The 20,514-nt window shown below is 38.2% G+C and overlaps 2 protein-coding genes and 1 pseudogene across 10 annotated transcripts in view, besides 1 other annotated feature; 2 read left to right on the plus strand and 1 right to left on the minus strand.

The window, feature by feature from the left end:
* The window catches only part of SIK2 (salt inducible kinase 2), a 128,407-nt gene that overhangs the window by 72,345 nt on the left and 35,548 nt on the right, over positions 1-20,514 (plus strand). For both annotated transcript variants that reach the window (NM_015191.3, XM_017017417.2), the window contains exon 4: positions 13,208-13,369. In NM_015191.3, coding sequence (NP_056006.1) covers positions 13,208-13,369 — 162 coding nt within the window. The remainder of the gene's footprint in view (positions 1-13,207; positions 13,370-20,514) is intronic.
* RN7SKP273 (RN7SK pseudogene 273) lies at positions 8,318-8,631 on the plus strand (annotated as a pseudogene).
* PPP2R1B (protein phosphatase 2 scaffold subunit Abeta) overlaps positions 13,207-20,514 on the minus strand; it is a 78,390-nt gene continuing 71,082 nt past the window's right edge. For 3 of the 8 annotated variants that reach the window (XM_024448600.2, XM_047427193.1, XM_047427191.1), the window contains one exon: positions 13,207-20,366. The gene's annotated coding sequence lies outside the window, so the exon portion shown is untranslated. Of the gene's footprint in view, positions 20,424-20,514 lie in introns of all 8 variants that reach the window. The other 5 variants (XM_047427194.1, XM_047427190.1, XM_047427195.1 and 2 more) reach the window with 3 other exon arrangements.
* Positions 17,829-18,342: an enhancer, noted in NCBI's record as "H3K4me1 hESC enhancer chr11:111563346-111563859 (GRCh37/hg19 assembly coordinates)". NCBI's record gives its function as "activates a minimal SCP1, AML or CMV promoter by ChIP-STARR-seq in primed H9 embryonic stem cells {active_cell/tissue: H9 hESC(primed)}" and the evidence as "EXISTENCE:reporter gene assay evidence [ECO:0000049][PMID:30033119]".

Below are 20,514 nucleotides of genomic sequence, written 5' to 3' on the forward strand. Positions count from 1 at the left end.
TGGAATGCAGTGGTGCAGTCTCGGCTCACTGCAACCTCCACCTCCCAGGTTCAAGCGATTCTCCTGCCTCAGCCTCCCAAGTAGCTGGGATCACAGGCGCATGCCACTTCACCCAGCTAATGTTTGTATTTTTAGCTGAGATGGGTTTTCACCATGTTAGCCAGGCTGATCTTGAACTCCTGACCTCAGGTCATCATCCACCCACCTCAGCCTCCCAAAGTGCTGGGACTACAGGTGTGAGCCACCACACCCAGCCTCTACTGTGATAATGTTACATAACAAACAGCCTCTAAAATTTAGTGGCTTACATCAACAGATATTCTTTGTCTATGAGTCATTTAGGGTGACTCCATTTCAGGCTATATAATTGGGTTCAGATCTACTCCTCATGTCCCTCATTCTACATATGCTTTTCTCATGGTAGATGATAGAAACATAGGAGATGAAATCAAAGCACACACATTCTCCATGACCAAAACCAGAAGCAAGGCAGGGATATGCACCACCTATTCTACTGGGAGGCATTACAAAGTCACGTGACAAAGGGTATGGATAAATCTCTTACAGGCAGGGAGTGAAGAAATGGGAAAAGTAATGTACTACAGCAGTATTTCAACCCTGTCAATTCATCACTGAATTCACCATCCTCTGTGATTTCTAGGTGAGCAGATAGTTTTGGTTTTTGCAGCTGGCCCTTCCCTTTCACTGTTTTCTTTCTTTTCTCTGACAAGTGACTTCACGATGTCATTATTACTTACTGTGTAGGACCTCAGTAAACACATCATAGTCAAGCCACTAGCTAATAAACTAGGGCTTGACTTTTCATGAACTTGTTTTCCCAAGAACTTTGATTTACTAGTTAGCTAACTGTATTGAAAAAGCTTCATTGAAAAATTGTTCCTGCTTAGCACAGCTTAATCTGTATTCTTGGGTTCCCAGTGCCAATTTTTTTCTTTCTTCCAATTTTTATGTTAGGTTCAAGCGAGTACATGTTCAGGTTTGTTACATGGGTAAATTGTATGTTCCTGGGGTTTGGATATACAAATTATTTTGTCAGTCAGCTAGTAAGCATGTACCTGTTAGGCCATCTTTCAACCCTCACCCTCGTCCCACCCTCCACCCTCAAGTAGACCCCATTGTCTTTCTTGCCTTCTTTGTGTCCCTGTGTACTCAATGTTACTCAGTGTTTAGCTCCTACTTAGAAGTGAGAACATGCAGTTTTTGGTTTTCTGTTTCTGCTTTAATTCACTTAGGATAATGGCTTCCAGCTGCATCCATGTTGCTGCAAAGGATAGTATTTCCTCCTTTTTATGGCTGTGTAGTACTCCATCATGTGTATGTATTATGTTGTCTTTATTCAGACCACCATTTATGGGCGTCTAGGTTGATTCCACACTTCTGCTATTGTGATTAGTGTGTAATGAATATACACATGCATATGTCTTTCTGGTAGAATGATTTACATTCCTTTGGGCATATACCCAGTCATGGGATTGCTGGGCTGAACAGCAATTCTGTTTTATCTTCTTTGAGAAATCTCCAAACTGCTTCCCACCGCAGCTGAACTAGTTTTTATTCCCACCAGCAGTATATAAGCATTCCCATTTCTCCACAGCCTTGCCAGCATCTCTTCTTTATGGACTTTCTAATAACAACCACTCTGACTGTTGTGAGATGGTCTCTCATTGTGGTTTTGATTTGCATTTCTCTAAGGATTAGTGATGTTGAGCACATTTCTGAATGAACCATCCAGCTTGGCTTCATTGTTTTTTTATTGTTTCACCTGAAGAACTTAAAGAAAGAAGTAAAAGAGATATATTTGCCCTTTGATTTATGAATGAATGATGATGTCTTAGATCTCAAATATTTGCTAAAAATGTAGATACCTTTAGAGTACTTCTATACAGAAACCAAAATATTAAAATTAACAAATCTGCTTCCTTCATTAGTATCTCATTCTCCAAGTTTGACATTTGAATCCTAATTCCTAAAAATTGAATGTTTTGGTAAATCATAGTCTGTTCTTTAGACTACATTTCTTTCCTTCTTAAGAAATAATTGCATATCAATATAGCTATCTGGATGTATTTATCTGTGTAAAGAATGTGTTAGAAGTGTAACCAGATTGCATTTATAAATATTATTATAACACTACCATAAATAGAGTAAATAGCACACAATATCAGTAGTTCAGCTTAGAGTGACTCATTTGTCAGTCCAGTCATAGTCATCACTTAGAAATAATTCACAACAGACTTTGAGGTCCTGGAGCGATGATAAAAATAGGTGGGATGAAAGTACCTATTTGGGGAATTGTCTGGAATGTTTAATACCATCCAGATGACATCATCATAACCTGGTAGTATTAAATGTGACTCTGGCACTTTCCCAGGCTATTCAGTTTTTGTTTTTGTTTTTAATTATTGCCTAAAAAAACAGCTCTGGGACAGTTAATGAAATGTTACTACATATATTGAAATCAGTAAGAAAACCCAGCTATTGTTCTGGAATTATATTAAGAGAGTTCTGATGTTTCAGACAGTATCTCATCTTGTCTGTAAGCCAGTATTGCCTCATGACATCTCTTCTATTATTGTCTTGAAGTACTGATTAAAGTTGTTTTTTGTTTTTTGTTTTTTTTGGAGATGGAGTCTTACTCTGCCACCCAGGCTGGAGTGCAGTGGCATGGTCTCAGCTCACTGCAACCTCCGCCTCCCAGGTTCATGCGATTCTCCTACTTCTGCCTCCTGAGTAGCTGAGATTACAGGCGTGTGCCACAATGCCCAGCTAAAATTTTTTTTTTTTTTTTTTTTTTGGTATTTTTGGTAGAGACAGGGTTTCGCCAGGCTAGTCTCGAACCCCTGACCTCCAGTGTTCTGCCCACCTCAGCCTCCCAAAGTGCTGGGATTACAGGCTTGAGCCACCACGCCCAGCCTAAAGTTTTTATTATTTAATCTTCTTATATGTACTTGTTTGCATTGGGGACTGAATTTTATTTCCTTGTGGTTCCCACATTAGCATTTAGGACCATTGTCATAGAGGTGCTTAAATTTTTTGTTTTAATTTCTGCTTAATGGGACTGTACAGATTATTAACCTGAGTTTACAGTTTCACATTATTTTTCAGTGCTTTTTACAAATGTAAATTAGATCAAGTCTCTCATCTACTTAAAGTCCTTAAGTGGCTATCAATATTTTAAGATACAGACCCCCTTGTTAGGCCTAGAAATCCTCGCTTAGTTTGACTTTGACTTCTTCAGTTTCATCGTACGCCTTCCTCCTTCCCTGTTCTTTATGTGTTAGCCTCATTGGTCTCCTTTCAGTTTTGTGAACGTGCTGCACCTTTTTTTAGAATGCTTTTCTCCCAGTTGAAATAGTATCTTCAAAAAGAAGCCTTTCATGATCACCCTGTCTACAGTGGCCTCACCCAGATACTTTCCAGTTGATCATCCCTGTACCTCTAACATTTATTGCCCCCTGAAATTGTAATGTTTGTCTCCTTATTCATTGTCTTTTTCTCCACTCAAATAGAAGTTTCATGAGGCCAAAGTGCCAAGCATCGTGAGAGACACAAATAAGTCACTCAAATATTTGTCAAATGGAGTTTATTCTTCAAACTCAAGTAGTGTAACTTTCTTTCTTAATTTGATTCCATGAGGGAGAAAGCACTGTGCTTTGAGATTGACCTGAAAAAAAGTCAGGACAGTTGAGGGCCGTGAGTTCTGTGCTACTGTGCTCATCACTCTTATGTAACTGATTTTATTCTCATTGACTGAGATATTTAGGGTGCTTTTTAAGATCTTTACATATGTATGAAAACTGGCAAAAAAAATTATGATTTTCTGTACATGTTTATCAGCCTTGATTTGCCCTATTAAATATTTCACAGTTAGAATTATAAATTTCTTGCTAATGTACATTTTATGTTGTAAGTACTAGGCTCTTATTTGATGCTGCAGACAGCATGATATTCTTACGTGACAGGAAAAAAAAATTGCTATGTGTGGGCAGAAGCCAGTAGGATAGATGTGGAATAAAACCCCCTTTAAGGGTTCTTTGCCATGAAGTGCCAGTTCATGTGCAGAGCAATTTAAGGTATGACTCTCCCAGCAAAAACAAAATTTGGGGTTTTTTACTGACAAATCAGAGTAACCCAAGGCCTGAATAACTTGCCCAACATGACACAGCAGTGAAGAATAGAGCCTCAGTTCAAAATCAGGCTTGTCTGACTCTAGAATTTATTTCCTACTACATTTTGAAATCTTCCTAAGTAGAAAGAAATCTAGAAATGTATTTTACTTACATGTTTTATTAAAGATGTGGAAAATGTTTGAAGTCATCTGTTTGATATCTGTTACTGTCATCATATATTACAATCTAGTAGCTTCTGTGTGGGAATTATAAATAATTTTAGGAAAGTTTGACTATATTTGCCTTTAATTAAACCAGAAACTTGAACATATAGTCATGAAAGTCAATTGTAAATAACCTTGAAAACTTTCAACTATGTAACTAAAAATTCTCAGAAGACCATGGTTTGCTTCAGTAGTTGCACATAGCTTGAAGAACTGATTCAGAATCTAACAGATGCGAACAGCCTAATGTAGGGAAATTGCTGAAAGCACAATTAAATTGCCAGAGTATACACAAGCAACAATTTCCTTAATTTTTGTCGAACACACAATTTGAAATGATTATGTGCTTACAAAAACAAACAGAGAAAAGCAAAGTGTTTTACAATCTGTAGTTTTATATTCATAAATATATCTCAAGGTTAAAAGTTTAATATTATAAATAGTATTATAACCTAATATTTAAAATTAGGGTAACCCACGTTATCCTAATTAATACAGAATCAGACACCTAATCCATTTTCTGCTAGTGTTCACATGTCGGGTGGTACATATATCAGTGTGCTAAAAACAGTTCAAATTATTTCATCTAATGGGACTTCCTTTCTCAGTAATATTCCAAGATTGATTGGCAAGAACCAGCACAAGCTGAGCTGTCAAGATTGAAGTCTTGATCTACAATAAAAAGGGTTTTTTTTGGCTGGGCACGGTGGCTCACGCCTATAATCCCAGCACTTTGGGAGGCCGAGGTGGGCGGATCACAAGGTCAGGAGTTCAAGACCAGCCTGGCCAACATGGTGAAACCCCATCTCTACTAAAAATAAAAAATTAGCTGGGCATGGTAGCAGGCACCTGTAATCCCAGCTACTTGGGAGGCTGAGGTAGGAGAATCATTTGAACCCGGGAGGCGGAGGTTGCAGTGAGCCGAGATCACACCATTGCACTCCAGCCTGGGTGACAGGGCGAGACTCCATCTCAAAAAAAAAAAGCAGTGGGGGGCGTTTCATAGTAACATTTTTGTACTGATCAGAAGAAAAAACTGTTAGAGGAAAAGATGAGTATAGATTTAGATGTGAGGATTGAAAATAATAGCTCTTCAAAATATTTTAAAGAGAGCAAATTAGCCAGTTTTGATTACCTTATTGGAGCTTCATCATTCATGGTGGTCATATTCCTGAAAACACTGTTTCTCTTCAAATTTATAACTAGAATTGTGAAGTCTGCAGATTTGTGGGTTAGGACCTCTTGCCAGGATTTAATTGAGTTTTTTTTTAAAAAAGATTCTTTAAGCATAAAATATTAAATTGGCATCAACCTTTTTACTTTACTCCAAAATTACAAACCGATGAAATTACAAATTAAATCCTTTTAACATAATATTAAATATTTAATTCCATAAATTATTAATCTTTTGTGCTGTTATTCAGCTCCATCTTTGAGGAATGCTAGTAATTTCTGACTGAAGAACATGAGGCTTAAAGATAGTCATGCAAAGATTCTCACACCCCTGAGACATGAGGGAACTCAGCTGTCTGGGTTTCCTCCACTTCTTTGATAAGATGCTGGGAAGGCTGCCTCTTATCCCTGGGGGAAGAGAAGGGATACCACTAAGCAGTGACGACGATGATGATAGCAACTAACATTTATTGAGCATTTATTATGTATCAGGCACTATGCTATGAAATGTACTTATCTATAAGTGCAGACTGAAAGCATTGATTAATTATACTATATACATAACTTTAATCTGTATAATTTGAAATCTGCTTGTTGGGGCATCAGCCTTCAGGGTTGATAGAAGATGACTCTTGAATTTTTGAGGTTGACTGACTGTAAGATGATAGTTATAGTGACTTAGAAGGTGGTAATGAAGTTTATAAAAAGAAAGATGAGCTCTGTCTTGATAACATTGCAGTGGCAGAAAGAAAATCTGTATAAGTATATAATTAGGTAGCTGTTGAAATGTCAAATATCATTGGCAAATTTGGAGATTATTCTTACAAAAATTCTAAGGAATGAATGAAATCTCCCAGGGCAGAGTTTCTTAACCTGGTATTAAACCTAAGATTTTATAGACCTCCTTGAAATTATATACTAAATTGTATATGTGCATGTGTATCTATGTATCATTTTTATTAGACTTTCAGTAGGGTCTGTGAGCAGAAGGCCCAAGGCCAGACTGTTAAGGTATCTCTTGACTGGGGTAATGAAAGGCACCCTGAGACAGGCACTAAATGAGAAGATTATGAAAAAGAACCAACATCATTCAGCTAAGAATAAAGCAGATCAAAGGTTAGCCACATGAAGGTGATAGTTTATTTTTTTTAGAAATGATATTTCAATATGTTGCCTATGCTGGTCTCAGACTCCTTTGTAGTCATTTATTATGGTGCTTGAATCATGAAAGAAAGAAAAAAGAAAGCTGGGAAATAAACACACAATCTTAATGGTCATCATTGGAAGTGGCTAGCATGCCAACTCCTTACTTTGAAAATTGGTACTTAAAGAGGAAGAATTAAGCATTCATTCTTCCAACCTATTGAAGTTTTTTTCAGAATAATAACTCTAGTTGACAAGAAAAAATACTTCTCTACAGAAGAATTTCACCTAATAAATGTGGCAGGAATCAATTAAAAAATCACAATTTTGCAACCCCTAATGAAATCATTGATTCATGTAACAGCCACTAATGAATACTAAAACTGTTAGTGCTGTGGTTCTCAAAGTCAGGCCCCTGTTCCAGCATCTTAAATATCACTTGGATACTTCTTTAAGAAATATGAAAACTCAGGCTCTTTCCAAAACCAACTATGTCAGAAACTCTAAGGGTAAGTCCCAGTAAGCCGTGTGTTAACAAGCCCTCTGAGGGTTCTGACAATCACTGGAGTTTGAGAACCATGATATTAGGAGAAAGATTGCTAAGAATCTTTAATTGAAGGATCAGGCTGTCACTCCCAGTACTTACTGACCAATCTTAGCACTCCTAAAAGAAGAATCAGATGTTATATTCCTCCTAGTAGAGGCACCTGTGATGTATTATTGCCACTCCCAAAAGATATTAAGCCTGAATCTATTCAGTCCTTTATAGAAACTATAGGAGATGGAAGAATAAGTTAAACAGTAATGTGAGGAAGCAAAGGACAAATCCAGAATATAGGATGACCGACCCAGTTTCTTCATGACAGTGGCATAGGAAAAAGGGGGAGGGTGAGAGTAAGGGTACTGTTCCAGCGTAAAAGGGCTCCAGAAACAAAATAAACAAATATAAAATGTTCATCTTGGTTTGTATCCTGATTCAAACAAGCCAACTATGGAGATTTGAATTCAGATTGGGTATTAGATGATAATAAGGAATTGTTAATTATGTTAGGTTTGATAATGATATTGCACTTATGTAAGAAAATGTCATTTTTTAAGAGATACATAGAAAAGTATTTAGAGTGAAACAAATTGATGTCAAAAATTGCTTTATGTTACATGAGGAAAAAAAGGATAAATGAAACAAGTATGACAAAATGTTGATAACTCGAATTTAGGTGATTCATTATACTATTTAATATGATTTTATGTATGTACAAAACTTTCATAATAGAAAATTTTTAAAGATACCTGTGAAACAATGTATTTATTAGGACATTTCTACCTATGCTAACCTTCATCACAGTGTATTGTAATTGCCTGTTTACCTTGCCTGTGCTAGTATTTCTCAGACTATCAAACTGTCAATATTGAGTTTAAATTAGCCAGTCTGTTGCAGACCATGATTTTTGTAAAATGGCAGTAAAAAATAATGACCAGAAAAGCAAAACTGGAGGGGGTGTTGACATACAAAATATAACCTTAAAAGTTTTCATTATTAAAGTTAACAAACATAAAATTATATTTCACTTAACAATTAGAACCAAAATAAACATAGGAAACAAGAATTTTCTAAAAACTGTATTTATTCATCAAAAATACATAAGCAGATATGAGAGCTATCTGGCTGTGACATCTGTCACCCCACTGATCGCCAGGGTTGATTTGGCTGATCTGGCTGGCTAGATGGCTGTCCCCTTCCTCCCTCACCCCTCCATGTGTGTCCCTCCCAAAACTGCATGCTCGTTCGAAGAGGACAACCATCCCCAATAGAGGAGGACCAGTCTTTGGTCGAGGGTATATGAGTAGCTGCACTCCTCTGCCAGAATCTCCAAACAAGCTCTCAAGAATACACACATAAGCAGTTAGTATAGACAGTTGCTATTACATTCATAAGTTTGTTCTGTAAATAAGGTTTTTATTTTTTATTTTTATTATTTATTTAATTTATTTATTTATTTATTTTTGAGACAGAGTCTTGCTCCGTCTCCCAGGCTGGCATGCAGTGGCGTGATCTCGGCTCACTGCAACCTCCACCTCCCAGGTTCAAGCGATTCTCCTGCCTCAGCCTCCTGAGTAGCTGGGATAACAGGTGGCCGCCACCATGCCTGACTAATTTTTGTATAGTTAGTTGAGATGGGGTTTCGCCAGGTTGGCCAGGCTGGTTTCGAACTCCTGACCTCAGGTGATCCGCCCGCCTCAGCCTCCCAAAGTGCTGGGATTACAAGTGTGAGCTGCCACACCAGCCCATCAATAAGGTTTTTAATGTGAAACATAAATGTGCTTTTTGTATGTTAACTTCAAGACCATGTGCGTTAACTTGAGCTTGGATTGTGTTCCTTGAAGGGGTTGATGTATGCCTAAACAAATTTTATTTGCAGCCACATGTTTCTGGCTCACTTACTTCTATTACTGATTTCTCAGCAGATGTTACAGTTTTCAAGGATGCCTACACTGCAGAAATCATAAAGCATGGGGAAGATAATAGATACACTGGAATGCCTGCCGAGATTTTCACCTGAAGAGTGAAAGTGCCACTTCTCTAAATAGTTTGTCTCTGGAATTTAGACCATTTTTCTCACACTGTGTGTGAGATTACATTTACTGATAGGTGATGATTCTGTCTTTACATGGTAACTTTAGATTCAGATATACAATGCCTTTGTTTTTCAGACAGTGCCTTCCTGCTGCCACGTTTCAAACTTTTTCTTTCCCCTTGCCTGTGGTACTCCCAATTTGGACTGATAGCTTCAAAAAACAATAACTATAGATTCCATTGTGCTTCCTAGGACTCATTTTGTAGTCAGTAGTTTGGGGTCTCTTTCTATATATGTAAACTTCCACTCATTCACATTAAATCTGTTAGATTTCTCTGTGTTGCCAAAAATCTCAAAAATCTTTCCCACTAACCTCCATTGACTCAGCACTTTCTTCAGGGAAAAAAAAAAGTTGTCTATTTGGACAAGTCAGTCATTTGTCCATGAAAAAATGGTCTCATTTAGCGGTACAGCTTAAATAGCATTTTGTGTGGAATCTTAGGAGAGATATTATTAACTACTCAAAAGATATTCTCTTATAGAAAGCATATTGGCATTCCCCTCAGTAGGTTATATTTGCCCAAAGGTCCGTATTTATAGTGGACTTCCCAGCTCATCCAGTGTAGAAGTGAGCCTCTGGTTCGCTCTTATGCAGAGAAGGCACATTGTCTACTTGCCAGTTCTTAAACATAATCTGTCTCTGTTGGCAGTTTGGACATTTTGACTAAAAATTATGCATACTTGTTCTTAAGTGATCTGTTCTCCCTTAGAATTATGGATAGCTACTATGCAGGTTCTGCAAAGGCAAGAGGAAGATGTAATGAGCTGACCATCTCAGTTTCTGATGCCAACCCATAAAAAAGAATAAAATGCCCACTTACATTTAAAGCCTGTAATATTTAGAATATGGCTAATAGCTAAGTACTAAGAATTATACATGGGATGCTTTGTGCTTATGCTTAGTGCTAAGCATTGCAGAGTACAAAAGAGAATAATATGGTTCCTGTCTTCAGGAAGCTTAAATGAAGTTGTCTTTAATACTTCAAAACACTATGTGTTAGAGCCGCAGTCCCCAACCTTTTAAATGGCACCAGTGACCAAATAAGTGGAGGACAATTTTTCCCAGGTTGGGGAGGATGATTTGGGGATGAAACTGTTCCACCTCAGATCATCAGGCATTAGTTAGATTCTCAAAAGGAGCATTCAACTTAGATCCCTCACATGTGCAGTTCACAATAGGGTTCACATTCCTATGGCAGGGGGCCGGGTTCCTAACAGGCCATGGACCAGTGCTGGTCCGTGACCCAGGGGTTGAGGACCCCTCTTTTAAAGTAAGGGCTATGTGTATACACATGTGTGTGTACCTTGGGATATTTGTGATACACATGCAGATTATTACATACAGTGTGAGGCAGTGTATGATAAGTGACAAGGTGTTGAGAGAACAGGTTATTTCTGTTTGAAGTGAAGAGGGACTTAAGGTCAAGGTGGCATTTAATTAGAGTTTCGAAAGGATGGTTAGGGTCTGGTGTGATGGCTCACACCTGTAATCCCAGCACTTTGGGAGGCCAAGGCAGGAGGATTGCTTGAGTCCAGGAGTTTGAGCCCAGCCTGAACAACAGAGTGAGACCTCATCTCTACAAAAAATAAAATATTAATAATTAGCCAGATGTGGTGACATGCATCTGTAGTCCCAGCTGCTCAGGAGGCTGAGGTGGAAGGATTGATTGAATCCAGGAGGTTGAGGTTGAGGTGAGCTATAATTGCACACTGTACTGCACCCTGGGCAACAAAAGAGTGAGGCCCTGACTAAAAAATAAATAAACAAATAAAATAAAAGGATGGTTAGGATTTCAACAGGAGTCTAGTAAAGATGCTTAATATAATAAAAAAATTATGTCAAATATTACAGCCCCAGATTGACTGTTCAGTCACCAGTTGTACAAATTCAGCCAGATTACTTAATCCCTCTGATTGTCAGCTTTCTCATCTATAAAATGGGAATTGAGTAATAGTTATCATAGAAGGTTTTAGGAAGATGAAATGAGACACTGTGATATGAACATGCTTTGTAAAGTATAAAGTATTGTATAAATGTTAGTAAATTTTATAGTAAGTAGGCCAGGCATGGTGGCTCACACCTGTAATCCCAGCACTTTGGGAGGCCAAGGCGGGCAGATCACCTGAGGTCAGGAGTTTGACACCAGCCCGGGCAACATGGTGAAACCTCGTCTCTACTACAAATACAAAATTTAGCCAGGCGTGGTGGTGTGCACCTGTAGTCCCAGTTATTCGGGAGGCTGAGGCATGAGAATTGCTTGAACCTGGGGAGCAGAGGTTGCAGTGAGCCAAGATTACACCACTGCACTCCAGCCTAGGCGACAGACAAGACTCTGTCTCGAAAAACTAAAGAAAAAAATACATAGTAAATATTGAGAAGGACATGAGCCAAAGGCAGGGAATTTAAAAACCAGTAAGCTAGTAAACACTAGAGCAGAAAATGTGTGCAGGTGACTGGGAATATTGAGTCACTCATACAGTTCCCTAGTTAGGACAATTATGTTAAATTTAAAAGTCTTTCAAGATTTGTGTTGATCAAAAGATAATTTCAGAGGACTTTCAGGTCTTTGGGTGAAATGTTAATGAGTGGTAATGTTTAGTTTTATTGAATTGATGTACATAGTCACATAGAATTAATTTTTAGGTAAGCTTCTTTATTAAAGATTATAACATTGCATAAAGATAGTATATCTTGCAAAATATATTTGTCTTACAGTTGAGAGAATATGGTTGTCATGACAATGTTTGGTTTAGAGCACAAGTCTGCATGTTCTTGGGTAGACGAGAATTCTTTCGAACAGCACAGGGTGTGAATTATTTAAGCTACTTCCAGTTATCACCATATCTCATGTTACAGGTGGTTTGTATAATAATTGCATGAAAACAGTGTTTCAGAAAAGATGTCTTTCTGTGTGACAAGATGTCAGAGAATTCATTTATTTCCTCTGTTTTACATAAATTTTATTTTTTTAAAGTGTGAAATAATAAGCTTTTCAACAAATAGAGAGAGTACCTAGACATTAAAAAAATCATGTTGAGTTGTACTGTGAATATTATGCTGCTTGCTGCTGACTGGTCTTGGGCTGTCACCATTTATTTGGACTCCAGTGAAATATGATTAGAAATATTTCTTCAGGCTGGGCACGGTGGCTCACACCTGTAATCCCAGTACTTTGGGAGGCTGAGGCAGGAGGATCACGAGGTCAGGAGTTCGAGACCAGCCTGGCCAACGTGATGAAACCCCATCTATACTAAAAATACAAAAATTAGCTGGGCATGGTGGCAGGTACCTGCAATCCCAGCTACTCGGGAGGCTGAGGCAGAAGAATCATTTGAACCTGGGAGGTGGAGGTTACAGTGAGCTGAGATCACGCCACTACACTCCAGCCTGGGCAACAGAGCAAGACTCCATCTCAAAAAAAAAAAAAGAAAAAGAAATACTTCTTCAAAGTCAAGAAACTTGGAAAACACCATATTACTTTATCACTAATTATTGTTTTTTTTAAAAAAAAAAACTTTTTTTTTTGAGATAGAGTCTCACTCTCGTCCAGGCTGGAGGGCAGTGGTGCGATCTCGGCTCACTGCAAGCTCCACCTCCTGGGTTCACACCATTCTCCTGCCTCAGCCTCTCCAGTAGCTAGGACTACAGGCACCCGCCACCATGCCTGGCTAATTTTTTGTATTTTTAGTAGAGACGGGGTTTCACCGTGTTAGCCAGGATGGTCTCGATCTCCTGACCTCGTGATCTGCCCACCTCAGCCTCCCAAAGTGCTGGGACTACAGGCATGAGCCACTGCTCCTGGCCAGAAAAAAAACTTTTTGAGGAAAAAAATTTCCTGACTACTAATAGTGGAGTTATTTTATTTTGGTGACTAATTCTTAATCCTCTCTTCATTTACAGACTATCTTGCTAATCATGGCCGGTTAAATGAGTCTGAAGCCAGGCGAAAATTCTGGCAAATCCTGTCTGCTGTTGATTATTGTCATGGTCGGAAGATTGTGCACCGTGACCTCAAAGCTGAAAATCTCCTGCTGGATAACAACATGAATATCAAAATAGCAGGTAACTGGGACACAACTGGCTCTAATAAGATCCGAAGTGAGCCACTGCACTCAGTGTGTGGAAACAGACCTGCAGGCGCAGATTCAGCAGCATTTCTACCTGATGACATCAGGCTATCTCAAAGTCCATTTTATTCATTTCCTTAGTTCTGTGTGTAATTAAAAGTAAGGGAATGAGTTCATTATTAATATACACAGGTCAGAGCTACATCTGGGGTCTGATGTGTCCAGATTCCATTGGCAGGGTTTCGGGGTGCTCTGCTGGAAGAGGTACATTTATCTGAGTGTCAGAGTGACTGGAGAAAAGACAGGGCTGGAGGAGTAATGCTGGTTGCTGGTACTCTGGCCTGCTCTCCTAATTATGACTGATGGCTACAGCCAGAAGCAGAGAAAAGGCAAAAGAAGTGATGGAGGTAGAATGAGAAATAGTTGAGACAGAAAAGCACCTTTCCTTGATCTGATACGATAGGGTTTTGATTTATAACATGAAAATTAAGTTGGGTAGAGATTAGTTTGCCTGTTTTTCTCCTTGCCTTTTCACAGTTGTAAAATGTTTTATTTTATATTCTCAGTCTCTTTATTTACATAGTCAAAACTCTCATTCACTCAATAAATATGTATCAGGTACTGTGCTATGTTAAGTACAATATGATATGTGGAAATCATTTCACAACATATCCATATATAAAAATAGCATGTACACCTTGAATATACACAATTTTTGTCAATTACATTTTAATAAAACTGAAAAAATACAGTATGATAGTTGCAATTTTAAAAGTATATACAAACTGCATGGGAGTATAGGTGAGGGAACAAGCAGTCTACCTGAAGAGTCAGGGAAGCTTCACAAAGAAGGAATTATTTGAACTTAGACTTGAGAGAGAAGTTAGAGAAGCTTGTCAGGAAGATAAACAGAAGCAGAATGTTGCAGGCAGGTAGACAGAGATTGGAATGTTGGGGAACTGTAAATTCAAAACTGGTTACATGTAAAATCTGTAGGCATGCAGGATTGATACAGGGGGAGCAGATAAGTAAAGACCAGAATATGAAACATCTTGAATGCCATGTCAAAGATTTTATAGTTTATTCTGTAGGTAATGGGGAGTCTAGCCTACTGAAAATTATAGGGCATGGGTAGGGGTAAAGTGGAATTGGGATAACATGATTAGATTTGCATGTCAGAAATATGTCTCTGGCAGCAGAGTTAAGATAGGTGGGAGATGTGGGTGAGGTGGAAGACAGGAAGACTAATAAGGAATCTAGTGCAATAGTCCATTTAAGAAAACATGAGTCTGAACTAGAGCAGCAGCAGTAGAGGTTGAAGGTATGTAAGGGAGATTTTGTTTGACTTGGGTTTTGAAGAGAAAGAGTGTGGGTTAAAAGCTTAGCAAAGTTACACATGGTGGTGTTTTGTTCTAAGATTGTTAAAGAAGAGCAGGGAGACATCCAGATGACAGGGACTGACCAAGAAATTATTAATTGACCTGTTAGGTTGGATACTCATTGAACTTAGTAAGTTTAGGGACAAAGTAGCTTCCTCGGTTTGCTGTATATGGTGTAAAATATAAGGTAAAACCCTCATGTTTGTACATTGAACTGATTTGTTTCTGTGCCATTTCCCATTAGTTTTTGTCTTAGGCAATTAGGGGAAGGCAAATTATTTTTACTCATTTTAAATGTCAATATTACATATGTTACAGGATATGTAATGGATTTTCCATTCTATAGTCTGTGATTTTTTTTTTCTAATGGGATTGCCTGAATAAGACAAAATGTTTTTAAGTTAATTTGTTATATTCATTTGTGTGTGTGTGTATGTGTATATATATATATATATCACACATATACACGTATATATAAAGATTTATATCAATTTGTCATTTTTGTTGTGAAAATGTGATGCACAAAATTAGAATACTTTCATAGTTTATGTCTGTTCACTTCCATTTGTTTTTTTCCCTTCCTCTGCTTTTGGCCCTTCCATTTGGTGTCATTTATTTCACTCTTTTTTGCCAACCTTCTGTGAGGAACTTCACTGGGATATTTTGTTTAATGCTCCTTGAAAGCATCGGCTGCCCTAAAATTGTCTTTTTCAGAGAAGGTCTTTCTTTTTTTTTTTTTTTTTAAGTCCTTAGCTCTGTAGAAAGAAGGGGGAAAACTCCTGCTACACCTTTACATTCCCTTATTACCAAAACGAAATATTTACCAAAACAATAGCACAAAGGAGTTCTAGGAGTTGTTTTTTTTTCCAAGAGAACTATTTTATTTATTTTTTATTTTTTATTATTATTTTTTTACTTTAAGTTCTGGGATACATGTGCTGAATGTGCAGCTTTGTTACGTAGGTATACATGTGCCATGGTGGTTTGTTGCACCTATCAACTCGTCATCTAGGTTTTAAGCCCTGCATGGATTAGGTATTTGTCCTAAGGCTCTCCCTCCCCGCCTCCCCTCACCCCCAAAGAGGCCCCCATGTGTGATGTTCCCCTCCCTGTGTCCATGTATTCTCATTGTTCAACTCCCACTTATGAGTGAGAACATGTGGTGTTTGGTTTTCTATTCCTTTAGTTTGCTGAGGATGATGGTTTCCAGCTTCATCCATGTCCCTGCAAAGGACATGAACTCATTCTTTTTTTATGTCTGCGTAGTATTCCATTGTGTATATGTGCCACGTTTGCTGTATCCAGTCTATCATTGACAGGCATTTGGGTTGGTTCCAAGTCTTTGCTATTGTAAATAGTGCTACAAGAAACATACATGCACATGTGTTCTAGGAGTTTTTTTAGGCAGAGAAAGGTTATAGGTGTGTAAATCATATGCTGTAGGAATTACAAAGTGCTGTCACTAACATCTCAAAAGAAAATGTCAAAGTAAGACACCAAAGAAACTTGCAAACAAAAAACAGAATATTGCTTTGACGTTATAACCAAGTTTTGCCTGGCTATAGTATGTCTATTATAATTCTGGCATAAAATATACGTGGGTCAAATCAGTGTTTCTGATGTCATTGTGTGATATCTTAGGTTTTTGTTTTGTCTTTTTGGTTTTTATTTTTGCTTTTTAGTATCTAATCTTCAAGCCCTTCTAATTATATAGAAGTCAGATAAAAATTCAGATTGGTGAAGTTCTCTCTGGTGAAGACAGTGTGATGACTCACATTTAATTGGGCCCTCACTGTTTTCAGGTATTCTGCTAGATACTTACTTCATCTTCACAGCAATCTTGGGAGCCGCTTAGCTATTGCCAGTTACTAGATGAGAAAGCTGAGATGCAAAGAGATTAAAAAATTGGCCGAGCTGACACAGATAATAAGTAGCAGACCTGGAATTCAAACCTAGGTCTCTCTGACCACAGTATCTGTCCTTCTCCCACTACACCATTTTGTCATTTCCAAGCATTCTGTGTCACTTCTTCCTAAAGGGGTACTCACTAATTGAATTTTGGGGTCCATCATTCTATGGTTGTACATTTAGTGTCCCTGCTTCCATTCATTACAAGCAGACACACACACACATGTGTGCACAGAGTATATCTAAGCACTCAAATTTTCTTGCCCACACTTAATTCTCTATCATCTCCACTATCCTCAAAAATTTTAGTAAATGTTTATTAAGCTTCTACTCTGCTCTTGGACTAAGTCCTGGATATTCATACATTTCAAGACAAAAACAGCAGCAGTGACAAAAAGCTTAACTCTGCTCTTACCTCAAGGAGTTAATCAAATAAGAACCAGACCTTTAAGTTAATATAACACAAAAAGATCATTGTTTTCAGGGACATGAGGCTAGGAGAAAGACTAACTCTGTCTGGAAGAATCAGGGAAATTATTAGCTAACACTTGATTAACAAGAAGGTATTTGTGGCAGGATTGGGGATCGGGGAGACAGAGAAAGAAAGAGGGAGAGGCCAGGCTCGGTGGCTTATGCCTGTAATCCTAGCACTTTGGGAGGCCAAGACGGGCAGATTGCCTGAGCTCAGGAGTTCGAGACCAGCCTGGGCAACATGGTGAAACCTCGTCTCTACTAAAATACAGAAAATTAGCCAGGAATGGCAGCATGCGCCTGTAGTCCCAGCTACTCCGGAGGCTGAGGCAGGAGAATTGCTTGAACCCAGGAGGTGGAGGTTGCAGTGAGCTGAGATCCTGCCACTGCACTCCAGCCTAGGCAACAGAGCGAGACTCAGTCTCAAAAAAAAAAAAAAAAAAAAAAAAAAAAAAAAAAAAAACACAAAAAGGAGAGAGGGAGAGAGAGAGATAGAGATCGAGGCTGGGGTATCTGCCTCAAGCAGATGGATCCACACATGCAAAGGCTGAGAGGCCAGAGCGAATTGGAGTGGTAAGGAAACTGCAGGTATTAGCCAGTGAGAATGATAGGAAAAAAGCCAGGAGAGGCGGGCATGGGCCAGATCATTCACGTGCTATAAAGTGTTTAGATGGATTCCAATGTCTTTAAAGAATTTCTCTAGGATATTTATTTTTATCTGTAAATTTTATAACTTCTTGATGGCCCTGATTTTCTTTAAGGATCATCTTCTTATCTCTGAGAACTCTTAAATCTTAATGGAATCTAACACATGGGAAAAATAGGGCTCTGTGGGAAGAAATTACAAGAACCCTTACAAAGTTATTCCCTCAAATTATACTTTTTTCTGGGTTTTTTTTTTGGCTTATGAAAATCTCTTTAATTGCAAAATAAGCTGAATAAATGAACTGCTTTAGCCATCTTGTATATTGAAATTGAAGAGAAGCACAAAATTAAAATATTTTTGTGTTTATAAAACAAAATGGAATAGAAGTATCAAACATGGTTCATTTTAATAAATAACAGAAACATGGCTTTGAGATCAGTTTCCAGGTTTTGTTTTCCCCGTGGGTAAAAACTTGAGACAGGCCGGGCGCAGTGGCTCACGCCTGTAATCCCAGCACTTTGAGGGGCCAAGGTGGGCGGATCACGAGGGCAGGATTTCGAGACCATCCTGGCCAACATGGTGAAACCCCGTCTCTACTAAAAATACAAAAATTAGCTGGGCATGGTGGTGCATGCCTGTAATCCCAGCTACTCAGGAGGCTGAGGCAGGAGAGAATCGCTTGAACCAGGGAGTCAGAGGTTGCAGTGAGCCGAGATTGTGCCACTGCCCTCCAGCCTGGTGACAGAGGAGACTCCGTCTCAAAAAAAAAAAAAAAACTTGAGACACTAATGAGCCATGGATTCACCCACACCAGTGTGTACTCATTGCCTCAACCATGAGACCTGCAACCTTTGTAAAAAGTGAGTGTGAGGACATTCACAGTAGGAGGCTGAATGCAAATACTGGCTTTCAGTAGTTTTAGTAATTGCAGTACTATTTCCACCTGTTTTGGCCCTGGCTGTTCAGGCATTAAGTTGAGAATAAAATAGATGAGGAATATTTAGTTTTATTCTCCAACTTTCCCAATCTAAAATGTTTATAATAAATACTTAAATAAGGATAAAAATCTATGAATTAATCACACGTCAAACAGGGCTTCATGTAGAGTACTGAGTTGAGTAGCAGTGCTGGTGCAAATTCTGTCTGTGCCACTTAGTAGCTATAACCTTGGGCCGATTATTTACACTTTCTAGGCCTGAGTTTCCATATCTATTAAATACAAATCTGTTTTTCAGGAACAGATTATAGGGATTGGTGATAATATTGGAGACAGGGAGTCGATGTAGGGTAATAGGTCAGAGTATGGGCTGTGTAGTCAGGATACCTGAGTTTGAATCCTATCTCTGCCACTTACTAGCTTTGTGACCTTGACCACGTTTCCTGACTTCTCTCTTCTCAGTTTCCTTATCTGTAAAGGGAGAGTGATAAAAGTTCATATCTCATAGTGATTATTACTTGAGTTGATATTTGTAGGGTACTTAGAACAGTGCCCGGCACACAGTGCTAGTTAACTGTTTGTTAAATAAATTGTTAGATAAAGCTCCTGGCACCATGTAAACACTCAATACAAGGTAGCTATTATTTGTATTCAATGTATAATTGATTCCCTGTGAAAACAAAGCCTTAAAATTTTAATAGCCATATAACCCTCTCGGCATGTTTTTTTAATTAACTAAGGCTTTAAAGCCTTATTAATACAAACCTTTTAGGACCAAGGAAAGTTTTTCACATATTCTCAATTGTCTCTGGTTGATGCAACTTAATTTTTTGCTGAGAGAGACCTTAAATGTAATTAGTATTGTATAATTAGCCTGATTAATCTGACCTGTACATCACGAGTCACTTGTCTTTAGCCCAAGAGGAATGCTTCCTTTCTGATTTGAGGCAGTGGCCCATCATTGCTTCTAGCAACCTTCCTACTTACTAGATGACCTTGAGTCAAGGTTTCTGTATATATGATTTCAGATTTGTCCCCTAGAACTGAAAAAGGGTAGGAGAGGCAAAGATAGGAAAAATATTTTTTAAAAATTTTTAAGTATTTTATTTTTATTGGGAAAATATTTATTGTAAGTCTTCCATTTGTTATCCTTCTGCCACTAGCATTACGTAAAAAGTAAAAAGAGCTTTACATCAAAAAGCACAATGAAACTTTGTATCCTTAAGTCCTACTTAGCATTCCACAGTAAGCTGGGAATATGGAAGATGGCTCAAAGGGTTTGGTTTGATTTGATTTTTTTTTCCCTCTTCATTTCTCTTCCCCTTCATTTAAGCTAAGGAAGATTATTTATTTGCTTCTTAGCTCATTGAACTCTCTGACTGGACAAATAGATGTCTTACATTGGTCAGCAGGATCACATTTCATCTCAACTGTGATGATTGTTCCCTTCCCTCCTGTCAGATGGGAGAGTGACTGATGTTTGGAAATGAACTGTGCAACTGACCTTTTCGTGCTGGTGGGCAACAAAGTATGCATTGACGTCAGTGTTGGCCGATCCACATTCAGTTTGTGCAATGGGTCAGCTTCATCTCTATCACTCTCCACCTCTCATTTGTCAGCTTTCATTTCCTCATAATTGTCTTCTTCACTCCTATTATAATTACAAAGGATGTGTAACTCTTCATCGAGGCTGGGTAGCTGAATTCTGCTGGTAATTTTAGAAACAAGGATAAATTTAACCCTAAAGCCATCTGCTGCTCTGTAGGAGGATTTTTTAAATTATAAATTAGACATTATAA

Source organism: Homo sapiens, chromosome 11, assembly GCF_000001405.40.
Source record: "Homo sapiens chromosome 11, GRCh38.p14 Primary Assembly".
NCBI classification, from domain to species: domain Eukaryota; kingdom Metazoa; phylum Chordata; class Mammalia; order Primates; family Hominidae; genus Homo; species Homo sapiens.